Raw genomic sequence first — 12,069 nt, forward strand, 5'->3', positions numbered from 1 at the left:
AGGTTGTTCAAAAAAATTATGGCAACATGTATTTAGTAATTATGGTTTATGGATAGCTGGAATGAATGGTAGCAATATTATTGCTGGGAGGGAGGATATCCTGAGTGGAGAGAAATTCATCCAGGCAGGAGTGCAGTGGCGCGATTATAGCTCACTTGCAGCCTGGAACTCCTGGGCTCAAGCCATCCTCCTGCCTCAGCTTCCCTAGTAACTGGGATTACAGGCACACACCACGCCTGGCTAATTTTTTTTTTTTTTTTTGTCTTGCTATGTTGCCCAGATTGGTCTCAAACCCCTGGGCTGAGGCAATCTTCCTCCCTCAGCCTCCAGAAGTGTTGAAATTACAGGTATGAGCCACTGTGCCTGGTATATGGTTGCTTTTGAATGTCCTAGTCCTAAACATCTGGTTCCCAAGAAGGAGAAAAGAAAAATGAAGGCAGGAGGAGGTGCTGATCCATAAAAACCTCCTGGAAGGTGTGTACCCAGGGAGGCAGTGAGGGTTGAGGAGGGACGTTGCAAACATAGCAGTGGAGATTGCAGCAGTGGCTGCCTGCCTCTTTGTCTGCATTTTCACAATCAACAGCAGCCATCATCAATCAGAGCACAGATCCCCAGTATTTGGAGGATGGGGCTCTTATTGCCCGCTCTGGTTCCTGCAAGCTATAGGGAAGCTACTCCAGAAATGCATGCATGGCTGCTTGCACCACCAATTTAAATGCCACTTTCTTCTGAAAACACCCTTACAGACCTGCCAGGAAATAATGTGTAACCAGATATGAGTGCATCCGGTGGCCCAGACAAGCTGACATATAGAATTAACCATCACAAGTCCACCCCTTGTCAACCTGGCACCCATACACATCTCCTTAAACCATACGCACTCTCCAAATAAACACAATAACCCAGTGTTATTGTGTTAGCAGTGGAAGGTGTCCGAGTTAATAGTGTTAGCAGTGGAAGGTGTCCAAGTCACTGGCAGTGAATCCGGATGGGTCTTCAGCAACCACAATTCTTGGCTCCTCAGAAGAAGGAATTCGACTGAGGGGCATAAGGCAGAAAAAGAGACCGAAGCAAGTTTCAGAGCAGGAGTGGAAGTGTATTTTAAAAGGCTTTAGAACAGGAAAGAAAGGAAAGTACGCTTGGAAGAGACCTAAGTGGGCACATGAAAGTCAAGTGTGGTGTTTAACCTTGATCCTAGGACTTTCTAGACTGGCCCCTTTCCCATGATCCTTCCCTTAGGGTGGGCTGCCCACATGTACAGTACCCTCCTTACCCTTGGGAGTTCCTAAACACATGCAGTGTGTTTAGGAAACTGTATGCATGCCCATCTGAGGTTTTTGGGTGGGGTGCCCCCCGAAGGTCATACTCCACCACTTTGTCTCTTAATGCACATGCCTGGGAAGTTGATTCTCCCTGGAATCTGCATTCAATTAACACTTTAGTGAAATAGGTGTGGCCCATCAGGAAATGGCCTGTCCCTGGCGCCAGCTGCCAATTTATCACTTTTTTTATTTATTTATTTTTTGAGAAGGAGTCTCTTGTCACCCAGGCTGGAGTACAGTGGTACGATCTCGGCTTACTGCAACCTCTACATCCCAGGTTCAAGCGATCTTCTTGCCTCAGCCTCCCAAGTAACTGAGATTAGAGGCATGCGCCACCACACTAGCTAATTTTTGTATTTTCAGTAGAGATGGGATTTCAGCATGTTGGCCAGGCTGGTCTCAAACTCCTGACGTCAAGTGATCTTCCTGCCTCAGCCTCCTAAAGTGCTGGGATTACAGGCATGAGCCACTGCGCCTGGCCAAAAGTAGGAATTCTTGACTGGGAAATAATTTGATATATTTTCGCACCTTGTGACTTGAGAAAATTATGCTAGGAATTCTGGTTTTGGGAGTCAAGGGAAGCTAGCTTAATTTTTACAGTGAAGGCTACATAAGAGTCCGCTCTCCAGTGTGGTGGCTCACACCTGTAACCCTAGCACTTCAGGATGCGGAGGCGGTCGGATCACTTGAGCCTAGGAGTTCAAGACCAGCCTGGCAACACAGTGAGACCCCGTCTCTACAAAGAAATTTAAAAATTAGCAGGGTGCGGTGGCGCATGCCTGTAGTCCTGGCTACTTGGGATGCTGAGGCGGAAGGATTGCTTAAGCCCAGGAGTTAAGAGGCTGCAGTGAGCTGTCATGGTGCAGTGCACTCCAGCCTGGGCAATATAGCAAGACCTTGTCTCAAAACAGAGAGTTCTCTCTCATTTATATTGGAAATGTCAGGGTTATTGGTGAGAGCTGGCCTTTAGGGGATCTAACTTGCTCTTGGATGTCCAAGGGGAAAGGTATAGATTTCTCCCGACTGCACAGGGCCTCTGCTTGTGAGTTGCTTGCACAAGATGATCAGAATCTGACTTACCTTGGATCACGGGGGCGCTGGTATATCCTAGCGGTAGATCATGGAAGGGAGTGGGCCACGAATGGGATCCAGGGAACGGGATTGTCTCGGGGCAAGGAGGACGATGCGGAGGTGCGGGGGCAGGGGTGGTGTCAGGACAGGCTGAAGCTGCGCTGCCAGAGTCTCTGGGCCACGTGGTCAGAAAAGCATCGGATTTGGCCTGTTAGCAGGGGAGTGTGGCCCAATGGCAAAAAGTCAAGGGCATCCTAGGAGCTGAGGAGGCGGTGGCAGTGGCAGTTAGGGCAAACCACTCTGGAAGCATCCAGGGGTGGAGACAAGAATCTGCAGGAGCTCCTGCCTCCAGCCTGGCCTCCCTCCTCCTTGTGCCCCAGACAGAACTGCTTCCCCTGAGTTGCTCCAACTCGTCCTTCCCCGGAAGTCCCTCACAAGTGCCTCCTGGCCGGGCCCCCCCAACTGCATTTTGCTTCTGCTCTCATCCCAGCAGTCCCATTTTCTCTACAGTGAGAGTTCTTGGCAAAATTTAAATCCCATTTTATTGGCGAGGTCCCTACCCCCCACCTGGAAGTGGCTGGAACCCAGCTGCCCACTGCTGCCCTCGCTCCCCAGGGAGAAGCCACTGAGCACCAGCTGGCTTTGTGGCCATCGCTGTCCAGGTCCCAGCCACCAAGACCCTGACCCCTCACTCAGCTTTGCTGTTCTTGGTTCTCAATGCATTTTTGTCTGCCCTCCGCTCCTGGCCAGACAGTTCAGCCCCCAGCAACTCCCGCAATCCTCAGAGCTTCTGGAAGCCATAGACTTGGCAGCACATGTTCCCGGTGGTCAGCTTTTCTTTGAGAACAGGGTCTCACTCTGTCACCCAGGCTGGAGTATAGTGGCGTGATGAAGGCTCACTACAGCCTTGACCTCCTGGACCCTGATGATCCTCCAAACTCAGCATCCCAAGTAGCTGGGACCACACATGTGAACCGCCATGCCTAACTTTTTGAATCTTTTGTAAAGGCAGGGCAAAGTCTACTGTGCCTCTGAGAGAGGAAAGCATAGGAAGCCAGAGGTCCAGGCCTGTGGACACTAGCGGGAGGGGCCGACAGGGTGCCCAACAGTTGTTTCTGCAGCCCCCGTGTGCTCAGGGACTCTGTACAGGTGAACCTCCTAGAGACTGAGCCCAGGTGCCAGAAGACTCAGAAGCAAGGACATGTTTATTCAGATCCATGGTCGTTACAAGCTTCATTTTTGGTCACAGGCCCTAAAATGCCATTATGCTCAGTTTACATCAAAATACAAAGCCCAACATTTACAATTTCAAAAACATTAAAGCAAACCCCCAAAACCCCACACCGAAAACAAAGGCTTGGTTTGGAAATCACCACTGAGATGCTGTTCTCCCTCGCATGTCGCCTGTGGGGTGAATGAAGGTGAAGACCCCGTGCTGGTTTCTGTCAGAGAATCTGTAGTTGTATATTTTGAATACTTAAGTACCACTGAACGGTTGCCATGTCTTTGAGCACTTGATGTTACTGAAGTGACAATGCTTCTGACCATCTTTGGCTGCAGAGCAGAAACTGGCAGAATCCGACCCCATCGACCCAGCAGTGTCCCCAACGCCTGAGGACCAGCACCCATCTGTGACAAGGCACAGGGGTCCGCGATGTTGGCCACTGCTTTGGGTGATGTGCTCAATGGCTTGGGGTCTGCGGTGAAGCCCCTGGGCTCTGGGAGGGTCTTAGGCTCCTGAAACATGGAATTCTACGGCCCAGTCTTGGAACAGCTGGGAGAACATGAAGAACGCCCCTCACAGTGAAGAATCAGGACAGCCACTCTCTGGTTTTCTCACAACTCTAGAAACTTTGATTCTTTCCTGGAGTGGAGACTTAAGCCACTGTCCTGGTCCCACACAGAGAGAGGAAGCGCCACAACCCACTCTGCCAACCTCAAGGCCAGCCAGTGGGGAGGCCAGGCCCAGGTGGCTGTTGGCAGGCTGGCTCCCAAGCTTGGTGCAGCAGAGTAGCCAAATGGGCAGTGGAAAAAAGGCCCCGAGAGCTGGCTTGGCCGTGAGTCCTTGGCGGAGGGAGGGAAAGGCCGCCGCTGAGCTCTGCGCTGTCACAGAGCGTAGCTGTTGAGCCCTGGCAGCTACTCCTTTGCTGGGGCCCACCTGCCTTCCTTTCTTGGTTGCGTTTCCTCCAGATGCCTCTGCGGCTGCAGGAACCCCGCTCCAGAAGCCCGAGGATGACCGTGTTCCCTCCTGGAGGGGCTTCCCAGGTCCTCTCAGCCCAAGGGTGGGGCTGTGTGGCAAATCCCTCCAGCCTGCTCTGAAGGCAGCTGACACCTTCAGGGCTGGTGCAGCTTCCCCCGCTCGGTCAGCAGTGTCATGGCAGAGGCGTAGAGGACATAGCCCAGGGTGAGCAGCAGCGTGCATGGGAGGGGCCCGACGCAGAACAGAGAGGCCACGAAGAAGGCCAGCAGCAGCGAGACCAGCGTCCGGTAACTGCCCAGGAAGCGCAGGCTGAGCCTGGGGCCGCGGGTGTGGCCGGCCACCTGCCTCCGCCCCACAGGGCTCAGCAGGTGCCTGCTGGCCAGCCCAGGTTCTGTGAGGTGGTAGCGACAGAAGCTGCCGAGGAAGTCATCCCGGGAACACAGAGCCGCCATCTGTCCTGCAAACTGAAGCACAGACAGAGGCACGGGGATGTGGGGTGGTGGCACCACAGGCCTCAGGACAGCAGTACCCCACCCTCACAGGCCACCCCAGGACTGCACCCCAGGCAGGAGCATCTAGAACCCTCTCTGAAGACGCCAGGCCAGCCCTCCTGCCCACTCACTCTGTGGTTGATGGCAGACGACAGCCTAAAGAGTGTGCGGACCAAGCTGGCGATCTCATAGCTCCGGATGGGCTGCAGCTCCGGGTCCCCCTGGTACTCAATTTCAAACCTTCGCAGCCCATTGATGATCTAGAAAGCCAGGCCATGGGGATGGGTCAGAAAACACAGCCCCACACACAACTCAGAGGAGCCTGATGGCCTCTGCTCACAAGGGAGGAGGGAGCTGGGGACGGGTCAGGGCCCAGCCTGTGCGCCTCTGAGACACGGGCCTCTCACCTGGTACCGCCCCAGGGGCGTAAGGATGAGTCCGTCCTCACCCACGATGCAGTCGGGGAGTTGCTTTTTTCCATTCTCATCCTGGGTGGTGCCCAAGGCGAGTGTGAACTGCCTGAGCTGCGCTTCGCTGAGCTGCCAGAGAGAAATGCCACTGCCCTCAGCATCAAGATGAAGAGAGGGGACCAGTCTTCACCCCACCAGCCTACAACAGTGGCAACAAGGGGACCCAGCTATGACGCTCGGGGTGTGGGCCTGCCTCCCACAACACTGGGTCCATATGTGTGGGGCCTGGGACTGGTAGGTGGCTGACCACAGGCTGGGTGGAGTGGATCCTTCAGGGAAGGGGACCCTGATGGCGGTGGGGCAGGCCCCATAGCTCGTACCCGGAATATCTGGCGCAGGTACTCCAGGGCCTTCTCCAGGTATTCATCTGTCTTCCGGACACTGTCTTGCCCCATCTCGTCCAGGTCGTTGGCTGTGTAGGAGCCATTGGTGTCCATGGAGCTAAAGCCCAGCCATGAGAGGAAGGAGTGGCCAGCCGGGCTCTCCGCACACTGGTCGGAGATGGACTTGGCTGTGTGTTTGGCCTGTGTGATGAGCTGAGCGAGGCGCAGGACCTGCAAGGGAGGCGCGGGCAGGTCACCAGCAGGACAGGCCTGTGCTGCCACCCAGGCAGCCCCAAGAGCAATGCACAGCCAGACTGCTGAGCGTCAGGAGGAGTGGCTTCTGCCAGAAGACTTTTAAAGACTAAAGGATGATCTTCTACATTTGAAATTTCCCAAGAAACACTGCCTTCGTTATCAGGAAAAAATTAGACTTTACTAAAACGGGGGAAGGAGATATGGCGTCAAATCTATACCCAGCCTCCCTCCTTCCTGCTGGATCACAGCACTTCCCGGGTTCTGCTCAGCCCCATGGCTCCAGGGGCCCTGAGGACAGGCACCGCCGAACCACTCACCAGGGTGCGGGCCTCGGGCCCAAACATCGGGGTGTACTTGCAGTCCTGGCCCTCCAGGCTGTAGACGTGGCTCTTCACCTTGAAGGAGGCATCAGTGACCGCTGGTGGCCAGGGTGACAGGAAGCTCCCAGTGAATGTGGGGGCCGTGAAGAGTCGGTGCTGGCGGTGGGGGATGACCAGCTCTGGCTCCAGGAATAGCTGCTCACCTAGAAGGCAGGAGACGAACCTGGCACCCACTTCCCGGAGGCAGAGTACCCGACTGCTGCCCTTAGGATTCTGGGGTGTCTCTGAGGTGTCTGGGGAGCCATGACCCAGGGGTGTCCTCCTGAGGCCCTGCCTGGCAGCATCTCCCACACAGTAGGTGGCTGACATGGGGAGGGCGGATGGGGGAGCTGCTGGCTCACAGAGCCCCTAGCAGTGTCTGCAGGAGGTAAACAACAGGAGGATCGACAGAAACCAACGCCCAACCCAGCCAGGATGAATGCAAGGCAGAGACCAGGCTCACCTCCTGAAGCGGCCAACACGAGTTGCCAGGGAGAAACAGCGGGGTCACGGGGCCGCAGCTTGGACCGTGCCGGCCCGCTCTGTGGGCACACCTGCGATCCCCCACCCAGTGCCTGGTGGCTGCAGGGCAGGCAGGATCCAGCCGGTTTCAGACCTCACCACACAGACGTGTCCCAGGAGTCTCCACAGCACCCTTTGCCGGGGCCCACTCTGGGCGTGTGGGTCCCTCTTAAAGACCAGCCACCCCCAGCTAAGGGCCTGGCCCTGGTCTGGCTGGGTTGACGTATACCGGGCTGGCCCAGGCTGAGGACTTACCTTTCTGAATCATCTCAGCCAGGTTGGGCTGGGCAAAGACTTTGGCCACTCGGAACACCATGAGCGCGTGCTTGGGGCTGACCAGGTCTGTGCGGAGCGCGCGGTTCAGAAAGCCCACAAACAACTTGGTGTACATCAGCAGGTTCTCCTGGACAAAGGGTGCCCTGGGGACCGAGGTGGCAGGTTGGGGCCAGCCTTCCAACTGGAAGCATGCCCCTAATGCCCGGTCCGTGCCCCTAATGCCCTTGCTCACCCTTGGGCTTTCAGACTCTCCTTAGCCAAGGTGACAAGCTGTCACAGATGACAGCTCAGGGGGCCACGGGCAGGCAGGGAGGACAGGACAGAGGCAGGTAAGACCCAGGCCCTCTGAGGATGCCACATCCTTAGCAAGGCTGAGGCCCCTTTCCAAGTGGATGGAGGCCACCATGGCAGAGGCCAGCCCAGAGCCTGAGGGGGCTCAGGGAGGATCCCCCAGAGGGTCCAAAGGGGAATGCCTTGGGCAAGGAGGGGAGGGATCAGTGGCCATGCCAGGTGCCACGGAAGCCTGGGGGTCCGCTGTGAGGATCAAGCAGGGGATGAGGGGAAGACAGCCTCCCTCATCCCCTGCTTGATCACCGCTGCTCTGTTCTGTGCTGATGAAGGTCAAGGGATAGTTTGGGGGTGGCTAAACACTCATCTGGGACAGAAGGGAGAGGGGACAGGGCAGGATGGGTCACCCACAGCTTCCATAAGAAACCAATTCTAGGGCCTGGCAAAGTTGAGCCTAGGAAAAGGCTGGTCTGTGTTCCGCTCGGCAGGGGCTGGGAGAGGACTTCAGGAGGCCACGGGGGCCAGGGCCAGGCTGACCCCAGCACAGGCCGCTGGCTTGGCCTCCACCCACTGGAACAATATCCACCTGGGGGAGCCAGTGGCATGTCTGTGAGAGGAGCTGAGGCTCACCATTTCTCCGACACACACCGGGGCTGGGAGTCGCTGCCCGGAGCCTGCTTGTCAGGCGCGTACCGCCACGGCTGCAGGTAGCTCAGCCACATCTCCAGGACCTGTGGGGGAGGTGTGTGCTAAGGGCTCCGTGGCTGGGGGCCAAATACTCGGTGGCCTGGAGCCCAGATACCAGGCGGCAGCTGGGTGGGACTGACTCTTCTCACTTCCTCCAGAGGGCGCAGGAGAGACATGCACAGCCCTGTGAGGTTTGGCTCTTGCTGGCCCTCCAGAAGCCAGGGTGGGCTTTTCCCAGCCCAGGGGGCAGAGTACTCCCTGGTCAGGTAAGGGTAGGAACCTGCCCTGCACCAGACAGGTGGGACAGGGCAGGGCTTTCCTGAGGGCTGGCTTTGGAAACTCAAACAGAAAGAACAATGTGGCCCTCCAAGACCCCCTCCTTGCCAAGGCCTCTGTGATAACACTTGCTCTCCTCCTTTATCTGCCCCAAAGGACCTCCCACCTCAAGGCACACAGAGGACACAGGCACACGTGTGACGGGGCCAACACTCACAGCTCTGAACGATGCGTCCAGGGGCCAGTGGCCAAAGCAATGCTGCAAGAAGAGGTAGAGTTTCTGCTGGACGAACCTCGGGACAGCAGCCCTGCAGGGGATGGGGAGGGTCACCTGCTGCTTGCCCAGTAAGGAGGCCCTGCTCACAGATGACCCCAGGGCTCCCATCAGTGAGGGTTGGCTCCGCCGGGGGAGAGCACTGGGCACCTCCGGGAGGTTCAGCCCCATTCTTCAGAGGAAGAAATCAAGGTTCAGAGAGGTTAGGGAACATCCCAAGGACACACAGCACGCAGGCGGCCGAGTCAGCACAACTCCTGCACACACCTCACCCTCCGTCCCATACAAACAGCCCACTCTGCTGGCCCTGGTGGGCCTGGCAGTCAGGGCCACCCCAACTCTTCTGACAGGGTTGAAGAATATGAGATGCAAGAGATGGCAGCACAATGGGGCCTCTCTGGCCAGTCTGGAGAGAGAGGCTCTGGGAGCCAACTGGGCGGGGTGAGAGGACACCTGCCTAGGCCTGGAGAGGCCTCACGTGCTCTGTGAACAGAAAGGGACTCCCCTCACCCTGCCCTCCATGCCCTGGGGAGAGGTCGCTGTGGGCGACACCTTAGGAGGGGAAAGTGGGGGAGACGGCAGTGGTGGGAAGCCGCAAGGGCCACCCACCGTTTGAACTCCTCCAGGGGGCTGGTGGCGTGGGAGTGGGCGGAGGGTGAGGCCTGCTCTGGCTTCAGGCTGTTGGCAAAGGCGTGCAGGTGCTTCAGCAGCAGGCGCACCACCAACACATGCTCCTCAGTAGGCGTGAACGACTCCTGGGTGGAGAAGGAGGGGTGAGGGCCTGGGAAGGAGCGTGGCACCCATAGCACTCCGCCTCCAGGTCTGACCACATCCCGCCCTGAGCCAGTTGCTCTGCTGCCCCCACGGGAGGCATGAGCCAGGCCAGGAGTGGGGCCACCCCATGGGGCACCACTGTGCCTGGCACCCAGATGTGCCTTGCACTGCTTGGTCTGAACTGTGACCAGCTTGTGGTATGGAAGTGCTTGGCCCAGCGCCCACACAGCCCTGGGGAGGCCTCACTAAGACAGACACATCTGCAGAGGGCCTCCCAGCCCTGCTTCTGCACGGCTGCAAATCCGCAGCGGGTGGCACAGGCTGTGCCCTTGGGCGCTGGTGCCTGTCTTGATCCCCAGGGCAGGAGAAAGCCAGCATCACCCACAAGCTCTGGATCCAGGGTCTCCCACCTGCCTCCCAAGTGTGTGCAGAAAGCACATGGAACCCAGGTGTGGTGCCTCAGACCTGTAATTCCAGCACTTTGGGAGGCCAAGGTGGAAAGATCGCTAAGAAGAAGTTCGAGATTAGCCTAGACAACATAGGGACACCCTGTCTCTACAAAAAATTTTTAAAAGTTAGCTGGGTGTGGTGGTGCACACCTATAGTCCTAATGACTCAGGAGGCTAGGGTGGGAGGATCACTTCAGCCCAGGAGTTTGAGGCTGCAGTGAGCTAGGATCGTGCCACTGCACTCCAGCGTGGGTGAGAGTAAGACCTGGTTCAAAAATAAGAACCCCATGGCTTCACTTTCCTCCCCAATTCCTCCCACCTGCTCCTCATCCTGGACACAGCCAGATGAGAACTCGGCCCAGTAGAAGCCCCGGGCGTCACTTCCTCTGTTGCCCAGGGACCTGTGGTCAGGAAAACCCCAAGACAAAAGCACAGTCAAGCATATTAGGCCAAACTTTTTTTTTTTTTCTTGAGACAACGTCTCCCTCTGTCGCCCAGGCTGGAGCACAGTGGCGCAATCTCGGCTCACTGCAACCTCCGCCTCCAGGTTCAAGCAATTCTCCTGACTCAGCCTCCTGAGTAGCTGGGACGACAAGTGTGTGCCACCATGCCCAGCTAATTTTTATTTTTCATAGAGATGGGGTTTCACCATGTTGGCCTGACCTCAGGTCTCCCAAAGAGAGGGAATACAGGCGTGAGCCACTGTGTCCAGCCTAGGCCAAACTTTTGATTTGTAACATACAAGCAGGATCCTGGAGATCTAGCCGGAGAGGAAAGCCTTTTTGGTGGCCATGGGCTTCCTCTGGTTGTTTAGCATTGGGAGGGCAGGTGGGCGCATCGAGAGTAGACGAGGGCAGGGAAGTAGGGGTGCTGAGGGCAGGACCCTGAGTCTGAGTGGACATGCTCGCCTCTCCACACTTGTCCCCTAGCCCTTTGGGCCGTAACACATCTGTGCTGCTGAGGCTGGTGCAGGGCCCAGCCTCCAGGTATATCCTGGTATGCTGTAGACCCCGCACGGGCCACTGCCCATATCGCTACCCACTCAAGTCTCCCCGTCAGGAAACTGTCCCCACAGGTCCAAGTGACACACCCCAGAGATAAGTGGCTGAGTCTGAAGATGGAGCTATGGGGTGGGAGGCATTTTCTTTTTTTTGAGACAGGGTCTCACTCTGTCACCCGCGCTGTAGTGTCGTGGTCTCGGCTCACTGCAGCCTCTGCCTCCAGGGCTTAAGGGATCCTCCCATCTCAGCCTCCCGGGTAGCTGGGAACACAGGCGCACACACCACCACACCAGGCTAATTTTTGTATTTGTAGAGACAGGGGTTTCGCCATGTTGCCCAGGCTGGTCTCAAACTCCTGAGCTCAGGCAATCCGCCTGCCTCAACCTCCCAAAGTGCTGGGATTACAAGCATGAGCCATCGTGGCTGGCTATTTTTCTCTATCTGTATTGTTAAGTCTTTGGGCAATGAATTTGCATTGTTTTGGAAGAAAGGGCCAGGTGCGGTGGCTCACGCCTATAATCCCAACACTTTGGGAGGCCAAGGCAGGCAGATCACTTGAGGTCAGGAGTTTGAGACCAGCCTGGCCAATATGGTGAAACTACATCTCTACTAAAAATACAAAAATTAGCCGGGTGGGTGGCACATGCCTGTAATCCCAGCTACTCAAGAGGCTGAGGCAGAAGAATCACTTCAATCTGGGAGGTGGAGATTGCAGTGAGCCGAGACCATGTCAATGCATTCCAGCCTGGGCAACGGAGTGAGACTCCATCTCAAAAAAAAAAAAAAAAAGACAGAAGGAGAAAAGTATGAGACATAATACCTGTACCTATACTGCCCAACTAGAAGGGCACCAGTGGGGTGGGAAGTTAGACCAGGGTCTTTCTCCTCCTCCAGTCTCAGCCCAGGCCCTCCCTCCAATCCTGGCCTGGGATCCTGAGCCGTAACATCCTTCCTGCAGCTAAGGGGAGGGGAAGACCTCCACATGTGAACTGGAAAACTGCTTTCCCCTGCTGGTGCACTTGACCCACCTC

The 12,069-nt window shown here is 56.4% G+C and overlaps 1 protein-coding gene across 9 annotated transcripts in view, besides 1 other annotated feature; it reads right to left on the reverse strand.

The window, feature by feature from the left end:
- The window catches only part of SMPD4 (sphingomyelin phosphodiesterase 4), a 30,366-nt gene continuing 21,861 nt past the window's right edge, over positions 3,565-12,069 (reverse strand). For 5 of the 9 annotated variants that reach the window (NM_001171083.2, NM_017751.4, XM_011511444.4 and 2 more), the window contains 9 exons: positions 9,424-9,569; positions 8,758-8,848; positions 8,208-8,308; positions 7,269-7,432; positions 6,450-6,655; positions 5,875-6,108; positions 5,492-5,623; positions 5,216-5,344; positions 3,565-5,057 (listed from right to left, as the gene is read on the reverse strand). In NM_001171083.2, coding sequence (NP_001164554.1) covers positions 4,728-5,057; positions 5,216-5,344; positions 5,492-5,623; positions 5,875-6,108; positions 6,450-6,655; positions 7,269-7,432; positions 8,208-8,308; positions 8,758-8,848; positions 9,424-9,569 — 1,533 coding nt within the window. In that variant the 3' untranslated portion in view covers positions 3,565-4,727. Of the gene's footprint in view, positions 5,058-5,215; positions 5,345-5,491; positions 5,624-5,874; positions 6,109-6,449; positions 6,656-7,268; positions 7,433-8,207; positions 8,309-8,757; positions 8,849-9,423; positions 9,570-10,356; positions 10,439-12,069 lie in introns of all 9 variants that reach the window. The other 4 variants (NR_033231.3, NR_033232.3, NM_017951.5 and 1 more) reach the window with 2 other exon arrangements.
- Positions 10,387-10,486: an enhancer, noted in NCBI's record as "active region_16523". NCBI's record gives its function as "activates an Ori minimal core promoter by ATAC-STARR-seq in GM12878 lymphoblastoid cells {active_cell/tissue: GM12878}" and the evidence as "EXISTENCE:reporter gene assay evidence [ECO:0000049][PMID:35858748]".

Source organism: Homo sapiens, chromosome 2, assembly GCF_000001405.40.
Source record: "Homo sapiens chromosome 2, GRCh38.p14 Primary Assembly".
NCBI lineage: Eukaryota > Metazoa > Chordata > Mammalia > Primates > Hominidae > Homo > Homo sapiens.